This window comes from Homo sapiens, chromosome 9, assembly GCF_000001405.40.
Source record: "Homo sapiens chromosome 9, GRCh38.p14 Primary Assembly".
In the NCBI taxonomy this organism is placed as follows: Eukaryota; Metazoa; Chordata; class Mammalia; order Primates; family Hominidae; genus Homo; species Homo sapiens.
In genome coordinates, this window is record NC_000009.12 from 132537960 (window position 1) to 132561558 (window position 23599).

A 23599-nucleotide genomic window follows, 5' to 3' on the forward strand; every position below is an offset into this window, starting at 1 on the left:
GACCCTGAGCGGGGATGAGAACCCAGCTGTCCTGACTCCTACCTCGGGACCCTTCCCACCAAACCTCTGCACACACCCAAAATCAGATTTTAGACTAATCCAACCTGGCCCACACAGAAGTATGTCCTGTACAATCTATAGAGAAAAGGCCAATAAGGCAAAGTTGAAAAGGAAACCACTTCTGAAAGGGTGCCTTAAAGAACACATTATATTAAACTTTGTAACATTTTATTACAAATTAACCAGGAAGCAGCATTCCAAACACCTCCCGTGCATGACGTGCATCCTCTCATCTATGCTACCAAAGCCACAAGGCAGGCATTGTAATCGCTGCTTCCCAGGCGTGGAAGTCGAGGCTTGGGGAGGCAGTGCCTGCACAGGGAAGTTTGAGCTGAGGTCCCAAGGATGTCCAGACACTGCCGATTGCTGGTGATAGGAGTCCCTAGCAACAAGCAGGACGTCAGGGCAGTGAGGTTTTTTAGCAGGAAGGAAAACCATCTTTAATTCTTCGTTTGTGTTGTCATACACATGTGAAAATACTCAAGGCCGGGCGCGGTGGCTCACGCCTGTAATCCCAACACTTTGGGAGGCCGAGGTGGGTGGATCACCTGGTTTGAGACCAGCCTGGCCAACATGGTGAAACTCCTGTCTCTCCTAAAAATACAAAAATTAGCTGGGCATGATAGTGGGCACCTGTAATCCCAGCTACTCAGGAGGCTGAGGCAGGAGAATAGCTTGAACCTGGGAGGCGGAGGTTGCAGTGAGCTGAGATTGCACCACTTCACTCCAGCCTGGGCGACAGAGTGAGACTCTCTCAAAAGAAAAGATACTAGAATGGTACTTCCTGGCTGGGTACGGTGGCTCACACCTGTAATCCCAGCACTTTGAGAGGCCAAGGCGGGCGGATCATGAGGTCCGGAGATCGAGACCATCCTGGCTAACACGGTGAAACCCCGTCTCTACTAAAAATACAAAAAATTAGCTGGGCGTGGTGGCATGTGCCTGTAGTCCCAGCTACTCGGGAGGCTGAGGCAAGAGAGTTGCTTGGACCCAGGAGGTGGAGGTTGCAGTGAGCCAAGATCGTGCCACTGCACTCCAGCCTGGGCAACAGAGCAAGACTCCGTCTCGATAAAAAAATAAATAAATAAAAATAAATAAATAAAATAGTACTTCCTTTAAAATATTCTGAAACTCGAGCTTTCAGAGAGATCAGATTGGCCTCCTCGGCAGTAGGTCCAGACTGACGATGGTAAAATCAGAATCACTCTATGTTCACACAGTACTTTATAGACTTCATCAAGGCGTGGCTCCGGCGTGGCTAGTTGTCATGACAATCACAACCAGCACCCTCCCCAAGCCTCTGAGCTGAGGGCTGGGCTGAGTATGCACCCTGAGTTTCTGCATTTAGTTCTCTGAGAATGCCCTGAGGTCAGTCTCTCCTCCTATCATCTCAGTTTGGTTTATTTCACGGGGAAACTAGGGCTCAGAGAGATGAAGTGATTTGCCAACAGTGTCAGACCTAGGTGTGTCCAGCCTGAGAGTCCAGGCTCTTCCTGAAGAAGAGGTCCCACTCCTGCTGTTTACGGAAAAGCCTGGGGCTCAGCAACAGCGCCTATGATGTTCTAGGGCCAACCAGGGGATCGGAGGAGTCTTTCTCGAAATCCTGGTACCCTCAGGAGGGGCCAGGAGGGGTGCACGAAGTGGGAGGCTGAGGATTTCCAGGCGTGGCGGGTGCCAGGGCCTCTCCTGGCTCTTCTCAGCAGTCTGCAGAACGTCAGACACCTCATTAAAGAGCTCGGCCTTGTAATAACATTTTAAGAGCAACCCACGACTAGTTTATTCGTTAATGGCTCAAGCAAGAGTCCACTTGCTGTGGTGATGGCCGATTTCAGAGGGAGCATTACCAGCACAAACTGCTTTCTAGCCCCGCATTAGAGCTGGGAGTTTTTTTTGCTGTTTGTTTATTTTTGTTTTTGTTTGTTTGTTTTTGAGACGGAGTTTTGCTCTTGTTGCCCAGGCTGGAGTGCAATGGGGCAATCTCAACTCACTGCAACCTCCGCCTCCTGGGTTCAAGTGATTCTCCAGCCTTGCCTCCTGAGTAGCTGGGATTACAGGCGCCTGCCACCAGGCCCAGCTAATTTTGTATTTTTAGTAGAGACGGGGTCTCACCTTGTTGGCCAGGCTGGTCTTAAACTCCTAACCTCACGTGATCCACCCACCTCAGCCTCCCAAAGTTCTGGGACTACAGGCATGAGCCACTGTGCCAGGCTTAGAGCTGGGAGTTTTAATTAGCAGGTATTTCACGCATCCCAGAGTGTTGGTAAACCGACCCCATCTTCCAGCTCTAGGACAGAGTCCCTCCTTTTCAAGCAGAGCCCCCAAAACAGCTCGTGTGGTTTGGAGCAGGTACCAGCTCTGCATGTGTGGCTGAGTGAGTCTCTCTTTGTTGGGGTCTTGGTTTCTGCATTGGGTGCGGAAAGGGGTCTGATTAAACAAGGCCCCACCATACTGTGCCTGTTGGGGGAGGAAAATGTCTTTCCTTCTACCCATTCTAGACTCATGGCTGAGGGCCCTATCACAAAAGACAGATTTGCAAGAGAAAAGCATTCAAATGTCTTTCAGTTTTATGTGACACATGAGCCTCTGTAAGGAAATGAAGGCCCAAAGAAATGGTTAAACGCATATATTTTTATGCTGGATTTGGTGAAGAAGGGGATAGTTGTGGAGAAAGGATTGGATGAATAGTGTGATCTTTTGGTGATAAACTGGGGGAAACTTCGCAAGGCCTGTTGTTCAGATTATCAGGATGTTCTTTACCTGTAAGTTTTGGGGGGCACCTCTCGAATGAGGGTCGCATAACCTGCTTGAGGGGAGAAGGGCAGGGGATGTGAGCGAGACGTCCTACTTCTCCCTTTTTCAGTATGCCAAGGGGGCATATTTGGAGGTATTGTGAACCCCATCACTTAGCGCATAGCAGGCACTCAGAAAACACTTGTTGTACCAACCTCGTAATCTTGCTCCAAGATTCTCTGTGGCTGCTATATTGTCCTACAAATGGCTACAAACCCCCCAAACGCTGGGAGGCTGTGGTCTGGGGTTGATAGACAATTTACCGGACTTGCTTAGACGGTCAGTTTGCAAAGCCACATCCCCACCACCACAGACCTCAGTGTCCTCCTCAAGCCTGTAAGCATCGGGGTATGTCCTGATTTGGATGGTGATGACCCCAGATGAAATTCGTGGCAACAGCTACCACTAAGTGAGCCATCATCTTGGCCAGCCGCCCTCCTCAGAGCTCAACTCAGCAAACCCTGCAAGAACCCTGCTCAGTGGGCGTTGGCACCCTATTGCTAGCAGAAGGAACTGAGGCTCAGACAGGTGACATGGCTGCTTGCCTCTAATTCCGAAGCCTGGCTCCATAACCCCCGACTAGACAGCCTCTCTGCTTTGGTTCAAAGATAGTTTCAAAACCTTCTAGACATGACCAGGTGTGGTGGCTCACGCCTGAAATCCCAGCACTTTGGGAGGCCAAGGCCAGTGAATCACTTGAGGCCAGGAATTTGAGACCAGCCTGGCCAACACGGCAAAACCCTGTCTTTACTAAAAACACAAAAATTAGCTGGGCGTGGTGGTGGTTGCCTGTAATCCCAGCTACTTGGGAGGCTGAGGCAGGAGAGTTGCTTGAACCCGGGAGCCTAGATCACAGCACTGCATTTCAGCCTGGGCAACAGTGACACTCCGTCTCAAAACAACAACAACAAAAAACACAAAAAAACGGGTAGGGGGGTTTGTAAGTGATCCACAGACACTTTCAGTAAAATTAATACAATAAAATCAGTAAAAGGGGTTTACTGGGGTGGTGGCACCTTCGATTAAACTCGGTTCAGTCTTTATTTGCCGATTGTGCTGTCTGTGTGCTTCACACCATGGGAGGTGACGCGGAAGGTTTACTGGGCCCCGCCCTTGGAAGACAGTTGCCTTTAGGGAAAGAGGAAACATAAGCCTGGTGAACCCCAGGGCAGATCCATGTTCTGTAGGGCCTGAAAGGTCTACAGTTTGGAATCCCAATTTAAGAGAAAATACACAAAGGAAACCTGAGACCCTGTGAGCTCATGCCCAGGGCCCCTCCTAACTGAGCCCTGAGATAAAGGACTTGGCAGCATTGATGGCCTCAGGGCTACTCCGCCAGGCCTCTGTCCCCAGTACTCCCCGGGGGCTGCCCTGAGCCAGGTCTGTGGCTCTGGCCATAGCCAATACTGACGACTCCCAAACCAGGGCCTCCAGCCCATCCCCAGCCGCCTACGCCCCATCCCCTGGCACATCTTAGGACATGACACAGTCGAAGCCAAGTGCCAAGTCTTTTGGGTCAGTCTAGAACAGACCTTACGAGCTATGTGGCTCTAACAGTGGACTTGCTGGCACCTGTCAGTGGGCACAGGCACGCAGGTCAGGAGCAGAGGGGCTTCCACTGTGTCTCTGAAATCACACCTGCAGAGACACCGTGGTGGGAGGTCCCTGAGTCCCCCGAAGAAGCTCTCACTCCTCCTGCACGAGCAGGCCATGGAGGACCTGCTCTAAAAGACACTAACCCCTGGAATCGTGCACTTCTTCATCCAAACACCATGGAGTCCTGGGGACCCACTGGGGCTGCGTGAGCCACGGAGGACAAGTTCAAGGATGACTGAGACACTGTCCATGCCCTGAGGGTGGCTGCACGCTGGAATCCCACATGTTCCAGAGACTGGAATGCTCCGGGTGTCCTGGGGTCCCACCCCCCCTCCCCCAGTCTCCTGAGCTGTGGCCAGAGACAGGACCATGGAGGCAGGTGGTGTGAAACAGCCTTGGAGAAGGGCTGGGGCCAGAAGGAAAGTGACCGAGGATCTTGCCACGCCAAGAATCCCAGCCCTCTGTCTCTATATCCCTTCAGCACGGCCTTCTCCAAGTAGCCGGGCAACCATCTCACCTTTGCCTTTCCCTGGCCTACAGGTGGTCCTTGGGAAGCTGTATGAGACCCGGAGCAGTCAGCTGAGGAAGTACAAGCCGCCCGTGAAGCTGGACACCCTCTGGCACATGCCTCACTTCCAGAAGGTCAGTGTCACCTTCATCCACACCCCTCCCTGCACCTTGCTGGCTGCCGCTCACCTTGCCAGGTCCTTACCTGCTGTCTCTGGGTTCTGTGGGCTTCTCACCATCGATTAGTACAACAGCCGCAGCAGCAATCGCAACAGCTAATGTTTCCTGAGCACTTCCCAAGGCCCGGAGCTGAGCCTTTGTGACTTTTCACATTCACTGAAGGGGGCAGCTGCTGCTACCAGGCCTATTTTCCAGACAGGAAACATGGTGGATGCTGCGGAGTGGCAGAGTCTTGGGCTGAACCCAGACCATCTGGGTGCAGAGGCTGGGTGGCTGTCCACCTAAGGCAGAGGCAGTCTTCCTGTAGAGGAGGCTGTCCACCTGGAGGAGGCTGTCTAGCTGGGGAAGGAGGCTGTCCACCTGGGGAGAGGGCTGTCCGTCCGCCTTGAGGAAGGAGGCTGTCCACCTGGGGCAGAGGCTGTTCACCAGGGGAGGAGGCTGTCTCCCTGGGGCAGGGGCTGTCTGGACCAAACCTCCCTCCAGGGAAGGGGTAGTTGATGCATGACATCCTGCGCTGGGAATTTTGGGGTGCAAGACAGATGCATGCCAACCAGCATGAACTTCCCACAGAGTGATGTCCCTGAGGAGAGAGGAGCAAAGGTCTACCAAGGACTGGGGCAAGTGTGCGACACGTACCCAGACTGACCTAGATAAGGACCCAGGGAACACGCCACATTCTGGCCTCAGAACTCAACCGGTGTTCACTCAGCCTTGTAGCCCTGTAGCACCCAGACAGGGATTCATCTTCAACAGCTTTTGGCAGGGAAAGAACAATGTAAGAGCCGGGGGCACCGTACGGAGAAAGGGAAGTGGGAGATTTGGGAACAGTGGCTTCAGGATGGGGCCGGGGGAGGTGCGTGTGTCCAGCTCAGGCAGAGGGAGCCTTTCTAGGAGGCCACAAGGCAGTCGCCTGGCCCCGGGAAGACAGCTGCAATGTTCCTGGGCAGCCAGGCCCGGCCGCTGTGCCGCATTAAACTGCAGTTTAAACAATGAAGGGACCGGTGCCTTTCTGAGCCTAATGCACTCGAACAGGCTGTAGAGCTTCACCGGAGAAACCTGCTCTGCCCCCCCTTGACGCGGCCTCTCATGTCCTGCCCAAGTGGCCTCTGCCAGCATATGTCAATGACCATGCGCCCTGCCGCCCGTCAGTGCGCTGCCTCCGTGCACAGCAGACGTCAAGGGAGGAACAGGGCCGAGTACGTTTGGGAGGTGGAGGGAGTCACTGCAGCTCCGCAGCTCCTCTCACCGCTCCTGCCCTCGACAGCACGGCTCATCTCTAGCTTCTCTACCTTTTCCAGCCATGTTGCTTCCTCTGCTTCTCCTGCTCTCTCACTCACTCAGCAGATTCCGTCCACAGCCTCCATCCTGGCCCTGGCTGTGGTCTTTCCTCACTGCCTATTTTTTTTTTTTTTTTTTTTTTTAAGGCTGGGTCTCACTCTGTCACCCAGGCTGGCGTGCAGTGGTGCAATCACCTTCACTGCAGCCTCAACTTCCCAGGCTCAGGTGTTCCTCCTGCCTCAGCCTCTTGAGTAGCTGGAACCACAGGCTTGTACCACCATGCCCAGCTGATTTTTGTGTTTTTTTGCAGGGATGAGGTTTCGCCATGTTGGACAGGCTGGTCTCAAACTCTTGGCCTTAAGTGATCCTCCTGCCTGGACCTCCCAAAGTGCTGGGATTACAGGCATGAGTCACCATGCTCAGCTACCTCCCTGCTCCTTTCTCTGTGAGAATCCCTGCAGTTCATGGGGACGCTGCCTGAGGAGGGACTGGGACCCAGCGTTCCACTGGCATGGGCTGCCCTCTGCAGCACTCTGCTTTAGGCCTTGACTCCCAGCCCCACTCAGCCCCCTCCTCTCTGATTTAGAGCCCAAGACCATGGACACAGGAGGCTCAGGTGTTCTCCCCTCAGCAGAGCAAGGAAAGGGCTCCAGGTAACAGTGCCGCACCTGTGCTGGGAGCTCCGGTCTGTCTCACTCACCTGTGTCCCACGGCGCCTGGCCCCAAGTAGGAGCTAAATGCACATAGAATGAGTTTCCATTTTCCAAAGAGGGGATTTGACTCAGCTGACCATGGGTCTGCCAGTCTTGAGACCGTTGTTCTGAAATATGATTATGAACAATAGCAAACCAGGAATGATGGCCTCCTGTGCCATGCCAGGCACTGTGTGAGGTCATGTGTGCATATTACTTCATTTCAGCCTCAGAACAAGAGTCCTGACCAGGTGGTGCAGATGAAAGGCAGAGGGGGAGCACCTTCCTTGCCCAGAGAGTGGCGGGGACAGGAACCCAGGTGTGTCTGATGGCAGGGCCCAAGCCGAGACACATGACCTATCGGGCCATAAAACTCATGAGAAAGAAAATCAACATGCAAGCCACAGCATATACTGAGTGTTCGCCTCCTTTCCGAGGGTATTCGCAGGATGCTGGGAGTTAAAGCTGCAGGCTGTCTCCCTATCCTACTTGCCAGAAACCTGGGGCCAAGGGAAATGGGGAATTGTGCCGGGTTCATCCCTGGATGCCACCCTGTCCAACCCAGCAGAGACCCTTAGACACACAGAGTGCTGCCGTTATGGGTGTCACACGCAGTCGCCTCCTTGTCAGGAAGTAACACCAACAAAAAGTATTTACCGAGCCCTTAGAATGCACCCGGCGCTGAGCAGGTCTCATCTCATAGATATCATGCCCCCATTCTACTGACATGGAAACTGAGGCTTGGAGAGGTGAGAAGTGGAGTCTGGGTCCAATCTGGGGTTTCCTAGCCCCAGGGCCTCCCGAGGACCCCTTCCCTCACCTCCAGGCCCCACCCACAGGTCCCCATTCTCACCACCAAGGGATCCTTTCTTCCCCTTCACGGCACTTAACTCTGCAATTAATTAACTGGGCAATTTTTTTCATCTTGCTCAGTAAAATGTGAGCCCCCCAGGACCGTGCCTGTCAGTTCCACACCTTGTCCCCAGAGGCCAGCAGGGTGCCTGGCACAGAGTAGGGGATCAGTAAACATCTGTGGAATGAATGAATGAGGGGATGAAAGACTGAACCGCCAGTACAGCCCAGAGTGACAGAAGAATTTAAAAGTCTGTTACAGACCTGCTGAGCCTCCCCTTTCTCCCCTTCCCAAACCAAGCACCCACCATCCCGGCAGCCACCAACTGGGCCTGGACTCAGGGGTCCGGGCGGGTGGCCAGGGCCACTCCCCCTAGGCGGAGCTGCTGTCTGTGGTGTCTGTCACGTGTGAAGCCCCGGGAGGGCCTTTGTCTGCGCCTGGCTTTGCCGCTGATCTGCTGCCCCCACCCCGGCCCCATTATGAAGGGAAAAGCGCTTCCAGAAAAGTTGAGCCTGTCACGGTGATGGATAACCTAAATGGACTCTCCCCGCTCACGAGCAGATGTCGACGCTGAACTCTGTCAGAAATAATTAAACACCTTTCACACTGAAAAGCAGCAGGCAGGGCGCGGCTGCTGCACCGACACCGCCAGCCACGAGGGGGCTGCCCTGCCAGAGGGGCTGCCGAGACCCCCGCGCTGGATGACCCGGGCCACTTACAGGGTCGAGAGAGGAGAGGGACCAAAGAGGGAAGAGGACACATCCCCCACTGTGCATTCCCTCCAGGCAGGGCAGTACAGAGATGTCTTCTTTCTGGTCTGTGCCACCAGCAACTGCCCCTGGTGGCTGGGGCCCAGAAGGGGGTTCTGCCAGCAGCTGGCGAGGGGCCCTCCTACCAGGACAGTTATGCCTGGGCTCTCTCTCCAGACCTCTGTTTCCTCAGCTGACAATGAGTGGGTGGGACTAGTTCTTGAGCGTTCCTTCCAATCCAAGATTCTGTGATCCCCAGTTCACTGGCCCAGGAGCCATGTGGGAGGGGATGGGGGCCCTTGGAGGTGCAGACCCCAAACCCAGGGTGAGCCAGCAGGGGGAGCAGCTCAGATCCTTCTCAGGTGCCCATTTTGGGGATGGGACATGAACTCATTTTCTCCCATCCCTGAATGGAGGAGCCGCTGGGCTGGGGCTGATGCCCTCTGTGCCCTGTGGGGGATAGAGACGCTCCCCTGCCCTTTGGCCGGGTGTTCTAGGTCTCCAGGGCAGACAGCAAGGCCAGCAAGGAGTAATGTGGTACATCTGTGTGCACGCATGACTCCAGGGACAGCCAGACGGGGTCAAGTGGTGACCCTGCCACACCTACCTGTCAGGTGGCTTTACCTGTCTGTGACCCACTTCCTCTTCCATAAAATGGGCTAACAAATGCTCCCCTGGCTAGGCTGCTGGGAGGATCCAGAGAGAATATGTGTGCACCACGCTCAGCAGAACGCCTGGCCCATGTTAACTGCCTATAAGTGGCAGCTCCATGAGGATGGCTGTGGAGATCATTCATTCATTCATTCCCCTGCTCATTCACAAATCTTTTCCACATGCGCCTTCATGCTGGGCCCTGTTCCCCGCACTGATGCTATGCTGGCGAACAGGCCAGACTCGGGTGTGACTGCCACCGTTGGGCTGCTGGCCGCTGGCTTGGGGTGACATGGACAGACAGACCGACACACAGGCAGCTGCACAGCTGGGCTCCTGGGCCGGGAAGTCTGGAGAAGCTCTGCCCTAGGTGTCCTCAGGTGTCCCCAGGTGCGCCGTGTCCACAGCCTGAAATGGTCCAGAGACACCAACCTTGCTTGAAGGGCGGAAGCCACTCCCATAACAATAGCCCCATTAAACATAACCCTGCGTGGGCCGGCCCACCCTGTTTCCTTGCCTTTTGCAGAAACTTCCTCAGGGCTCTCCAGGCAGGGTCCAGACACCCCCACTTGCCCAGGCAGCCCTCCCTGGGGCCCTGGCTAACAGCGCTTCCTCCGGTTCTCAACCAGCCACTCATGCACAGCCACACAAAGCAGACGGTACATCCTTCTGCCCAAAGATGGAGAGTGAGTGCCCCCAAAAGCTTATGGCCGATGACAATGGCGAAAGACTGGATGCCACTGATGAAGAGATGGCTCAAGTACACGTTAGGAGACCTTGAAAACCACGGCTTTGATCTGTACTTATTGACACTTTAATAACATATTGTTGGGCAAAAGAGTCCATGCCACGGGCCCCGCCTGGAGAGAAGCACCCGAGCATCTCTGAGCGTCTGCACAATGCCTACAGACATTCGGCAGGAGGGCCCCACAAATGGTAGCAGTGGTGATCTTTGGGGCGGGGGGGTGGGGGGTGAAGCTGATTTTCCTTTCTCTGATGCTCTTTTCTATATGGTTTGCATTTTTTTCAATGAGTAGATGCAGCTTTTCCAAAACCAGTAAGGCTATTTTTTTAAATGTTTTTAAAAGATGGAGATCCTGAGTTCTTCCCCAGGTGTTCATCCCAGTGTTCGACCTCCAGCTTTGAGCTCAGTTCTTCCTGATGTCTCACCAAACGCTCGCACGCTGCTGGCCAAGTCCGGTTTTGCATATTCAGCTTCCCTCAGGCATGAAGGTCAGGGCTGTGCCCCAGCAGCGAGGCCTGCTGACTTCCGGAGCCTGGATCTTTATTATAAAATCTATGTTATAATTAGAGACCCAACATCCATTTTAGAAGGGGGCTTGCCCAAGCATCTGTTGGCTGGCGGGGGGGTCTCCACATTCCCCTCCCGCCCCCACCCTCGGAACATCCGCCCCTCCCCCCACAGTCCTTGTCTCTGTACACTTCCAATACCCACCAACATTACATAGTCGTTCAGTCACTAAAGTATGAACAAATTGACTATATTTTCATTTGGCTTTTGGTTTCAGCCCCACTGCTTTAGAATAATGGCCCAAGCTATTAAGCTAACAGTTTGATTTACAAGCTTTTGTGCTCTGAACGCTGGGATCAGACTCCTCTGTTCGTGGAAGACTAACCCTGCTTCGGGTCTCCTGGGCCCCTGGCTCCCTAATAGAACAGGAGATGGAGGGAAAAAAATATATCTCAGCAGCCAGCCAAGCAGTGACACCCAGAGATGCAGCTGATTAGTGAAAGCTGCTGAATCTAAGAAAAGGATTTTCTTTCCCACCTTTAAGCTCTCTTACAAATCATAGCTGGCTGGAAAGTTAACTCTCTGCTACACCCCCCAAGCGGGCTTCTAGCCTGTCCACCCTGCCGCCTCTGCCTCTCCACAAGGCTTGTCCAGTTAAAATGAAGATGGGCCGACCCCCACAAAGGTGTATCCGAACCCAGGAAGGACAGATGCCAGATCTACGGCCCCTCCCAAGGGTCTCTGCACCAGTGATGTATTTTAAGAATCCTGTCGCTTCCTTGCATCGGAATAAGAATCATCTTACGTCACTGTGTAGGGCACCAAGTGCAGGAATGGAATGTGTCACATGCGGAAATAGGGCAATGGGAAGAATGATTCAGAGGCCCTGATGGAGTTGACACTTCCTCTGTAAATACAGATACCCCCCATTCTACATGGATCAGTATGCCGACGAGCTGACTTGCTACAGGGATGAAAGCAGGAGCTTGGCCGGGCACAGTGGCTCATGCCTGCAATCCCAGCACTTTGGGAGGCTGAGGCGGGTGGATCACCTGAGGTCAGGAGTTTGAGACCAGCCTGGTCAATATGGTGAAACTCTGTTTCTACTAAAAATGCAAAAATTAGCCAGGCGTGATGGCAGGCACCTGTAATCACAGCTACTCGGTGGGGCTGAGGCAGAAGAATCGCTTGAGCCACGGAGGTGGAGGTTGTAGTGAGCAGAGATTGTGCCACTACACTCCAGCCTGGGTGACAGAGCAAGACTCTGTCTGAAAAAACAAACAAACAAACAAAGCAGGAGCTTAATTGGTTTTACATAATCTGGCACCTCAGAGGTATAGAATTTTTAGGCACCTGCTCGTGAGGTGACATTGCTGCTCAAATACTGGCAAGCCACAAATAGCCAGAGCTGAAGTTCTGAGGCAGAGACAAAAGGAAAGGAGGTGTTCATGTATGTGGGGAGTGATGGGGGAATAGCGGCCAAGTTCCTAGAGCAGCACTCAGAGTCTGGGAGTGTCTGTGGTGGGGCCTGCAGAGGCCAACAGTGAAGGGATGACCGAAGCTGACACTTCCAACAGGACCAGTCCTACAACCTGGGAACCCCCAGCCTGGCTGCCCCCTTCATCCTTCCAGCTCCAGAGGCTTTTCTGTCTAATCTAGAAGGTTCTTCTCCCTGATTATATGCAAAAATATTTCGGTTTTTTGTTGAAAATCACCAGAATCGATGAGTAAGACAGCTGGTTTGGGCATCAGTTACATCTTTCTAATTTCTAGAGGCAGCAAGAGTCTCATGTTGAATTTTGGGAGTTGATGGAATTTGGGGGGTCCCCAATTTCTTCTTCCGACTTCTAGCTCATCTCCAGGAGAATAAATCTCCGATGATCTAGAGAGAATCCCACCAGCTTGGGAAGGAATTTGGGGAGCAGCATCTTCCTCAACATCTCCCTTGAAGCTTTTTTTTTTTTTTTTTTTTTTTGAGACAGGGTCTCACTCTGTTGCCCAGGCTGGGGTGCAGTGGTACAATTATGGCTCAATGCAGCCTCTACCTCCCAGTCTCAAGTGATTCTCCTACCCCAGCCTCCTAAGTAGCTGGGACTACAGGCGTGCAGCTAATTTTTAATTTTTTTTTTGTAGAAACAGGGTCTCACTATGTTGCCCAGGTTCCTTCTGGTTTCTGAGTGTCCCCACTTGTCAGCCTCCATCCCCTGGCCCCAGCGAGGTTGGTGGGGTGGAGACCCAAAGCCACCTGACATGGTGCCATCTGATATGGGGCCGTCAGCAGGTTCTTGCCCATAAATGGCATCAGATGATTTCCTGGGATAAACTCAGGGTTCATTCAAACTGAACTCTGGCAAAAGTGCAGGTGAAATGGACCAAGATGCTACAAACACAGCCTGACTGGCTACCCTCAGAAAGGGAAAGTGCATGGCGTCAGTGAACACATTTGGGGTAGGGGGAAAGTAAGACAATGGGGAGGTTTTATGAAGACCGACTCTGTCTTCTTCCCCTCCTCTCCTCAAAGAAGTCCTAGGAAATGATGCCTTAGGGTGGTGCAAAGAAAAAAGAAAAAAAAATGTGGGCAGTTTGACCAAAGTCCAGTAGCTGGGAGAGTGGAGGGGAGAAGTTATCCTAAAGATGGAGTTCCAAGACAGCAGCAATGATAACATCAACAGCTCACACGTCCTGACTCCTTCTTGGGTGCCAGCCTGGGTGCCCTTTTTTTTTTTTTTAAACTGTATTTTATTTTTTTAAGATGGAGTCTCACTCTGTTGCCCAGGCTGGAGTGCAGTGGCACAATTTTGGCTCACTGCATCCACCTCCTGGGTTCAAGCAATTCTTCTGCCTCAGCCTCCTGAGTAGCTGGGATTACAGACATCCGCCACCACGCCCGGCTAATTTTTGTATTTTTAGTAGAGACAGGGTTTTGCCATGTTGGCCAGGCTGGTCTCGAACTCCTGGCCTCCAGTGATCCGCCCACCTTGGCCTCCCAAAGTGCCGGGATTACAGGCATGAGCCACCACGCCCGGCCCAAGCCTGGGTGCTTTCGTGAGTTATCCCATTTCATGTCAATAACTCTCAATAACCCCACATGGTAGAGATGAGCTGCCCTGTCTCTGAGGCAAGGAGGCTAAGGCTCGGAAGCTTAAAGTCACGTGCCCAAGGTTAATAGCTAGCATGTGGCCAGGTGGGGACTTGGACTCTGGCTGGCTGCCTCCAAGCCTCAGGCCCTGAAAGAGCTGATAAACACTAAAGACTTGCAACTGAGGTCGGGGGCCAGTGCAGGGCTAAATGCGGGCCCGGGAAGGAAAGTGCAGGGCGGTCAGGAATGAGGGATTTTATGAGTGTCCAGAGTGTCGTGGCCGGGCCTGCTCCGGCTGATTTAAGCCCTGGCAATAAACCAAACTTCCCACTGCCCCAAAAGCCTCTAGACCTTGATAAAACCTCGGGCATCTTTTAAATTGCAGTTTGGCCCCAAGGCTAAAAAGGAAAGAGGCGGCTGATCCCGGATTCAGGCTTACTGCGTTAAAAGTGGGAGGCTGAGGCTGAGTCCAGCAGGAGGGCTGGGTCTGTCTGTGGGCTGGGCAGCCATGCAGAGTGGCTCCAGGTCCCAGCCTGCCTCATGCCCGCCCCAGGTCTGCATCTGTGAAGTGGGGATGGCAACAGAGAGGACCAAGTGCAATCATGCGTGTGAAGCGCGTGGCACAGGCCTGGCTAGGGGACGGTCATGGAGCAACAAAGCCTCTGGGAGGGACGAGGCCCTGGAAGCTGCTCCTTTAGATGAGTTATTCGAAAACTTGGCTTTGCCTGGGATCCTCTGAGGAGATGTTTAAAATGCAGAGTCGAAGGCCCAGTGCGGTGGCTCATGCCTGTAATCTCCCAGCACTTTGGGAGGCCAAGGCGGGAGGATCACTTCAGCTCAGGAGTTTGAGACCAGCCTGGCCAATATGGTGAAACCCTGTCTCTAGCAAAAATACAAAACTTGGCTGGGCATGGTGGTGTGCTCCTGTAATCCCAGCTACCCGGCAGGCTGAGGCAGGAGAATTGCTTGAACCTGGGAGGTTGAGGTTGCTGTGAGCCGAGATCACGCCACTGCACTCCAGCCCAGGTGACAGGGTGAGACTCCATCTCAAAAAAAAAAAAAAAAAGCAGAGTCCAGGGCCTCTCCAGGACTCTGATCCAGTGGGTCTGGGACAGCCACCAAACCTGTATTTTCAGCAAGCCAGCTGCCCCAGCTCTCAGGGTCAGTGTCAACTCCACTCTTACAGTTACGTTCAAATATGTGTTTACTGTGGCAGGTGGATGTATTTTCATATGTTTGACATGAGGCATGATGGGGCTTTCAAAGGGAAATGTGCAGTTGGAGACCGCCTCTGTCTGTTAAACAGCCCTAAGGCTTATGAACTTCTGTCTTAGTCAGGCTGCTCTAACAAAATCCCATAGACTGGGGAGCTTAAACAGATGTTTATTTCTCCTAGATCTGGAGACTATAAGTCCAAGGTCAGGGTGCCAGCATGATCAGGTTCTGGTGAGGGTCCTCTTCCTGGCTTATAGCCAAGGCACCTTCTCACCGAGTCCTCACTTGCTGGAGAGAGAGAGAGGAAGCACACACTCTGGTGTCTCTTCTTATAAGGACGCTAATCCTATCATGGGGGCCCCACCCTCACGATCCCATTTAAACCTAATCAACTCCCCAAGAGCCTTATCTCCAATGCCATCACACTGGGGGTCAGGGATTCACATACGCTTTTTGTTGGCTGAGCATGGTGGCTCCCACTTGTAATCCCAGCACTTTGCGAGGCTGAGGTGGGAGGATCATTTGAGGCCAGGAGTTCAAGACCAGCCTGGGCAACTAAGTGAGACTCTGTCTCTACAAACAAACAAACAAACAAACAAACACCATATGCGAATTTTGGGTGGACACATTCAGTCCATAGCAAGCTCTTTTTCAAGTGCAGTGGAAATCTGCCTTCTACCTTCCACCTCCTTGTTGTGTTTCTTGCTTCTTGATCCCCATGGAATCACCTTCTCTCCCTTCCACATGACAGCCCTGCAAATTCCCAAAGTCAGATACCATTTCTTCATAGACAACCAGGGTCTCGATTGCACCCCAGGGCAGAGTTCTGAATGTTGGAAGGGGGAACCCCACGTTGCAACAACAGTGGACGGCCTAGGCTCCACGGTCTCCACCAGTCCATGCTGCATTCTCTACCTTTATCCACATGCATGGAAGATTTGTCAAGCTGCACTGCATTTCTATATATTTTTAAATAAAATTGTGACTGAAACTGTCTATCAACGCCACTTGAATCACTTAATACAAGAACCTCCGTGAAAATTCCCTGCTGGAGGGCAATTTCAGGAAGAAGCTTAGTCGGATTCGTGTATACTAATAGTAGTAATAACAGTACAAGCCACCATGTCTTCAATGCCTACACTGTGTGCCAGGCACCATTCCAGGGGCTTGGCAATGACCCCACGGGATGGGTAGTATGACCCTTACTTTGCAGGTGAGAAACTGAGGCCCCTGGTCACACAGCTGGAAAGCGATAGGACCAGGATTGGAACTGAGCTCTGTGGAACTCAAAGCCCTATGTCCCTAATCATCGAGTGCACTGTCATGCCTTCTGTTGTGGAAAAAACATGCTCGACGTGATGGAATGTGCTCCGTTTGGCTTCATGTGGCAGAAATTGAGCAAGGGTTAGAATCTGTTTAAACCAGGGGCCTGAGAGTTGCTACACTTTTCTTCAGACTATGCTTTATGCAACCCTTATTTTTATTTTATTTATTTTTTTTTTTGAGACAGGCTCTCACTCTGTCACCCAGGCTGGAGCACAGTGGCACAATCACAGCCTCAACTTCCTAGGCTCAGGTGATCCCCCACCTCAGCCTCCCAAGTAGTTGGGACTACAGGTGCACACCACCATGCCCGGCTAATTTTTTTTATGTTTTGTAGAGATGGGGTTTTACCATATTGCCTAGGCTGGTCTTGAACTCCTGGGCTCAAGAGATCTGCCCGCCTTGGCCTCCCAAAGTGTTAGGATCACAGGCATGAGCCACTATGCCCAGCCCTTAAATACCTTGTTTCACCTTGCGTGCAATCCGCCAGATACCTTCAAATCACTTGGAAGGAGACAGGGTACAACTACTGAAGAAAGTAAAACACTTCTTCCACTTAGAGTTTAAGCTGAGCAAAGCAGAGATCTTCAGGGTGCCTGAATCTTGGATGCATTCCTAAGGGCTGTGTTGCCTCATCCCCAGACTCCTGACCCACTCATCTGTCCATCCGTCCATCCATCTGTCCATTCATTCATCTATCCAACCATCTATCTATCCATCCATCTATGCATGCATGCATGCATCCATCCATCCACCCATCCATCCATCCATCCATCCATCCATCCATCCATCCATCCATCCATCCTCAGCCATCTGTCCATCTGTTTGTTCATCCAACCATCCAGCCAAGATTTGTTTGGTGTCTACTGGGTGCCTCTAAAAGTAGAGTTACCCCAAGACATTTGAAGGCCTCCTGTCTGCGGACATTTCCCTAGAACCATGCCCACAATATGGCATTAACATCTTTGCTATCTAGCTGAGGACACTTAGCTCTAATAGTCCTATTTGTGACTTGTCAGGCTTAGCCTCGTCAACCACAGAAAGGTTCTGCTCCTTCTTAAAAGATACCAGAAAAAAATCCTTCCTGGTCATTATTCCAATAAGATAAAAGGGGAATAACAACACCAAACCTCGTTGCAGTACACTCCACCCCGATGGGCCGAGGACACCAAACATCTGAGTGTGTCCCCAGCTTCCCTGGCAGTAACTCAGAAGTTGTTCAACAGCCTATATTAATGAGCAATAAAGTACTGACGGGCACTGCATGGACGGCTCAGCAAAGGACTTAATTTGCAACCGAGCACAAAATCAAAGACTGTCAACCGAGGAACCATGTGGCTGGATAAGCACCTTGTGCTACCTGAGAAAGCACTGTCAGGTAAATTTCCAGAGAAAGTAATTAAGGAATCCCCATTGTCTAAATTCAGCAGTAAAATTTGGAGCTCTGGAATTTGATGCTCACCAGGGAGCTGGTGTCTCCTCCCAGCCCAATCCTTCATCAGAATGAAGAGTGGAGGCTTAGGAAGGGATCAGCTGACGTGCCTCCCGCCCTTTCCCTAACACACCCCCCAGCCCTGTGTGGTCCTGCATGTGTTGTCTTGTCAGAGAAGCAGAAAGCAGCAAATGAGATCTCCGCGTTGTGAGATGGGGGTGAGATTAATATACAAACATATAGACCTGAGATCTGGCAAGTGCCAATTAATATTTATCAAGCACCCACGGCGTACACGATACCGAGAATCAACATGCAAAACATACAGTCCCTGGCATCAGGCAATCTCCACTCCGAGTCACACTCAGGTTCCGCGCACAGATAGATGATCCGTGTGCTTGGAGGCACCTGCCCCGGTGGGAGAACCCACCAGGAGTTTAAGTTAATATTGATACAAGCGCCCTCTTCATACTGAGACAATGTAGGATTCTCAAGCAGGCATCGTCAGCACCCTGGCCTCCACTGGGGGAACCCTGATGAGACACTACCCCAGATCTCTAGGGGCCGTCCCATTCACAAAGACACCTCAGCAGGGCCTCCGTCGACACAGTCCCTTCACTAACTTCTTCTTAGTCTTCACGATAAAAGAAAAAGTCCTCCTCCCCACTGAAGATCAGGCTCTGCTGTGACCTCCCCTGTCCTGATATTTCTAAGCGGGGGTGGGCAGGTTGTGGCAGGACCCCTCCAGAAGAAAGAGCTGAGCAGCCTCCCATCATCTGGGTTCTGCAAAGAAGGGAGGACCCCCTCCCCGGCGGCTCAGCTTGTCAGGGCCTTTGTTGACAACCCCATTGAAAGCGGCCTCACTGTCTTTGTGAAGTTTCCTCCATCTCCCATTCACTCCTTTCTCAGGCAGTTTTTGAAAGGTGAAAAGTCTGGAAAACACACACACACTCTCTCCCACCCCACCCCCCGAGCCCCATCACACAGAGGGAGAGGGGGGTGGCAGCTTGGGGGAGCCGGGCTGACGAGCCCCTCACCTGGCCCCGCGGTGCACCGCCTCCAATTAAATCAAAATGGTTTGTTTTTAATGGTCTTTTACACTGACAAGTGGGCGATCATTTTGGGCCCACGAGCTGTCAGGGAACTGAGGCAAATCCTCCGTTGATAATGCCCAATGCTTCCAATTAGGAGCCGAGGCCGCTCCTGGCGCGCTAACGATTCCCCAGCCAGCCCCCAGGCCCCTTTGGCGCTGGCTGTTTCTTCCGCCTCCTCCACCGCAAATTACTGACACAAAACGGAAGGCCCCGCGTCTCCTTCGCCACGCCAGGCCCGGGCCCTGTTGGGTTTAATGAGCCGATGGAAGTTTCGTGGCTCCGGCGCTAAATTCTTTTCTTGTTTGACAGCTGCTCGGCTAAGGCAAGTGTTGACCTTATAAAAGATTTAGTGTTTCTCATTATTTTCTGTCAAGCTTCACAAGCGATGGCGCGGCGGTTATCATTTGCATCCTGGGGTGTGTGTGTGCAGGGTGTGTGTTGGGTGCGTGTGTTGGACAGGGGCTCCAAGGTGCAGACGGGAAACGGGAAGGGGTCTTTCCCTCTCCCCAAGTTGTCCCTGGCCCCTGCACAGCAGCTGCCAGCGTGAGGTTCTTGCTGGGCCCAGGTGTTTCAAAGAGAAGGCAAGATGCAAGTCCAAGGTGATGGATGCTTCCACGGCTTCCCGGCCTCCCGGTGGAACCAGAGCCACCGCCGTGGGGGCACGGGAGGAAGCCCAGTGCGCACCGAAGTCGGTCGACTCTCAGAGCCTGCTGGGCCCAGCACAGCCAGGGATGAGCGCTGGGCAGCAGGACAGTCCCAGCCAGACTCAAGGCTGAGGACGGTTTTAGGGTCAAGCTCAAGATTTAATCAGGGACCTCACTCTTGCCTCAAAACCCTGGTTAAGGCAGTTTCCCAAAAGCTTCCTCCTTTTGCTCTACACCTGGAGAACCGATTTTTTCCAAGTGGCTGGCATTATTCTCCCCAAGCTGACTATGGGAACTTTGTCAGTCCTTACTTTGTTCTGGCACCCCATGCAAATCGAGGCCACTTGGTAACTCACAAGGCTGCCGGGAGTCCATGCGGCACCTTCCCCAGCCCCTACCGGCCTCCTCATTTCTTTTCTTTCCATCTCTGCATCCTCCCCTTGCTCCAACCTACCTGCTGGCTACCCCAGGAACGGGTGACCTGAGGTTGCATAAAGAGTGACAGAGTCAAGGGCAGAGGAACGTGTAGATGTCTCCTCCCCCGGTTCTGAGTTTATAAGCATCACTGATACCATGGGAGACTCCATGTTGATCTTTTAGAGTGAAAACCTGGCACTCCACCTCCCTCCCGTGCCCACGGCAGACCTTACTAATCAATCGTTGTGTACTTTTTTCACCTGCCTAGGTTCAGCCTTAGAATATTTTGTAACAGAGGTTGGCCATCAGCTACCACCAGTCTATTAGAGCCAAGTAAAATGAAACAGTACTGCCATCCCTGCCTTAGAGAGGTCATGAAAATAAATTGCTATAGGTATTCCTAAAATTGCTTATCTTTTTATGCTACATTAAGATGATATTTATAGAAAAGGAAATAAAATATATAGCCCACTACATAGAAATAAATAAATTAGACTTCACCAAACTTTGAAAGCTTTTGTGCTTCAAACGATACTATCAAGAAAATAAAAAGACAACCAGCAGAATGGGAGAAAATATTTGTAAATCATATGTCTGACAAGAGACTTGTGTTGATGAATATATAAATTACTCTTATAAGCCAGTAATAAAATCCAGGTGTGGTGGCTCATGCCTGTAATCCCAGCACTTTGGGAGGCAGAGGCGGGAGGATCACCTGAGGTCAGGAGTTCAAGACTAGCCTGGCCAACGTGGTGAAACCCCATCTCTACTAAAAATATAAAAATCAGCCAGGCGTGGTGGCAGGCGCCTGTAATCCCAGCTACTCAGGAGGCTGAGGCAGGAGAATCACTTGAATCCAGGAGGCAGAGGTTGCAGTGAGCCGAGATTGCACCATTGCATTCCAGCCTGGGTGACAAGAGTGAAACTCTGTCTCAAAATAAATAAATAAATAAAAATAAGGACGGGTGCGGTGGCTCACGTCTGTAATCCCAGCACTTTGGGAGGCTAAGATGGGCAGATCACCTGAGGTCGGGAGTTCGAGACCAGCCTGACCAACGTGGTTGAAACCCCGTCTCTACTAAAAATATAAAAATTAGCCAGACGTGATGGCACGCACCTGTAATCCCAGTTGCTCAGGAGGCTGAGGCAGGAGAATCACTTGAACTGAGGAGGCAGAGGTTGCAGTGAGCTGAGATTGTGCCATTGCACTCCAGCCTAGGTGACAGAGCAAGACTCTGTCTCAAAAAAAAAAATCAGTAATAAAAAGATAAATAACTCAATTTAAAAATGGGTGGCCGGGCACAGTGGCTCACGCCTGTAATCAGCACTTTGGGAGGCTGAGGTGGGTGGATCATGAGGTCAGGTGATCGAGACCATCCTGGCTAACACGGTGAAACCCGATCTCTACTAAAAATACAAAAAAATTAGCTGGGTGTGGTGGCGGGCATCTGTAGTCCCAGCTACTCGGGAGGCCGAGGCAGAAGAATGGCATGAACCCGGGAGGCGGAGGTTGCAGTGAGCCGAGATCGCGCCACTGCACTCCAGCCTGCGCGTCAGAGTGAGACTCTGTCTTGCAAAAAAAAAAAAAAAAAAAAGGCAAAAGATAGGAACAGACATTTCTCCAAAGGAGATAAACAAATAAACACATGAAAAGATGCTCAACAACATCATGAGCCATCACGGAAACACAAATCAAAATCACAATGAGATGGGACTTCACTCCCCCTACAACGGCTAGAATAAAAATGACAGACAACAACAAGTGTTGGTGAGGATATGGAGAAATTGGAACACCCATACGTGCTGGTGGGAATCAAAAATGGTACAGCCAAGTTGGAAACACTTTGGCAGTTCTCCAAAAGGCTAAACATAGAGCTCCCGTATCACCCAGAAATTCTACTCTTAGGTATACACCCAAGAGAAATGAAAACATACATCCACACAAAAACTGTACATGAATGTTCTAGAAGCATTACTCATAATAGTCAAAAGTGGAAACAACCCAAGGTCCATCAACTGATGAATGGGTAACAAAAATGTGGTCCATCCATACAAAGGAATACTATTCCCTGGAAAGGAATGAAGCGGTCCTCTGTGCTATAACGTGGATGAACCTTGAAAACATGATGCTAAGGGAATGAAAGCAGCCAGTCACAAAAGACCTCACATTGTATAATTCCATTTATATGAAGAGTCCAAAATAGGGAAAGCCACACCAACAGGAAATAGATTAGTGGTTGCCAGAGGCTAGGGAAGAGGAATAGGAGTGACTGCTAATGGCTATAAAGTTTCTTTTGGGGGTGATGAAATGTTCTAAACTTAGGGTGTGGAGGTGGGTTGTACAATCCTAAGAACAGGCTAAAATTGGTGAGGTTTATGGTATGTGAATTATATCTCAATAAAGCTGTTTTTAAAAAGAGTCACTTTAAAAAATAGCCCAGTTGGATGAGATGAGTGATCATCGCCTAGATTCTGACTTTAGGGGCCAGAACAGGGTGATAATTGGCCACCAAGGTCTGGCCTCAGACGAGGGGAGTCTGCTGTGTCCTCCACTACAACTCTCATTCACCTGCAGCCTATTGAGCTTACAAGCTGAAGAAGCTTAGGAGCTGACCTGAGGTTTATGGAAAGTTCACACACACACCCCACCTTGGGACTGGTGTTACCCAATTATTTTGCTCCTAGCGTCTAGCAAACAGCTTCATTGTTCAATTTTGATTTCAACTGCTGCTGACTGGCCTTCGCTAATCCTTGCGAATGACCTGGAGCCATTGGTATGGCTTCTCGAAGGAGCAAATCGATTCTCATTTTCAAAGGCACAAATGCCTAGCTTTCCTTCTGCTCCGGTAAGTCCCGCAGCCCTGCAGTCAGTCCATGGAGCACAGCTCTGCATTCCAGTTGGGGCTCTGTCACTTAGTAGCTGGGTGTCCTTGGGCCGGTGTCGTATCCTTCCTGAGCTTCAGTCTCCTCCTTTGTCAAACCAATGGTCCCCCGCCCCATCCCCTCAAGGTCGCTGCTCCTCCCCATTCCCTGGGCACGGTTCACTGAGAGTGGTGCCGGTGCCATTTGAGAACCTACATTAGACCTTGCAGGAAGGCAGGAAGTTTGTTTTCCAAGCAGAGCTTGGCTGTTCTTTGAAATCGCAGCATGTGTCAGCAGGGAGGGTCGGGTCCTGTGTCCTTGCTCATCTATTTTTGGACCACAGAGAAATGAGAGCCAGTGGCAGAATAACAATCTAGGGGACCAGATGTCTCAGGAGAGACTGTTACCCTTGTTAATTACTTAAACGACAACCTGCTACATCAGAGCTGAGGACCCAGCCTGCTCTCCCACGATGTCCTACATGAATCTGTGTTCTACCGGAGCCTCTGACCTCCAGCTGCCCCGAACTTGACAGGAATTACTGACCTGGGACTGATCCATAATTTTCAAGTGCCTCTCATTAGAGGAGACAGCCTCTCAATCTTTTAAAGCAAAATCTCTCTCCCAGTCACCTGAGCAGTTGTCACTTAAAAACTAATCTAAAATCTCTATGCCTGTCATTATTTTTTTTTTTTAGCTCTTTGGCAGATTTTATTTTTTTAAATCTGTTTTCCCCCCCCAAATCCTCCCTTTTGCCTTGTTAGTCTCCAGACCTGGCACTGGAAGCTTGGTGTTTAGTTAGGGGACCTTCGTGTGGCCAGTGCGTGGGGAGGGGGCGTCTGCTGGCTCAGCTGCCCTGGCAGTGGGACTGGGTCAGGGACCTGGACTCAGAAAGTGCTGTGGAAAAGCTGATTGACCTGTGAAT

General features: G+C 51.5%; 1 protein-coding gene across 3 annotated transcripts in view; it reads left to right on the forward strand.

The window, feature by feature from the left end:
- CFAP77 (cilia and flagella associated protein 77) overlaps window positions 1–23599 on the forward strand; it is a 163109-nt gene that overhangs the window by 127749 nt on the left and 11761 nt on the right. For 2 of the 3 annotated variants that reach the window (NM_207417.3, NM_001282957.2), the window contains one exon: window positions 4987–5088. In NM_207417.3, coding sequence (NP_997300.1) covers window positions 4987–5088 — 102 coding nt within the window. Of the gene's footprint in view, window positions 1–4986; window positions 5089–5703; window positions 6128–23599 lie in introns of those variants that run through there. The other variant, XM_011518670.3, reaches the window with a different exon arrangement.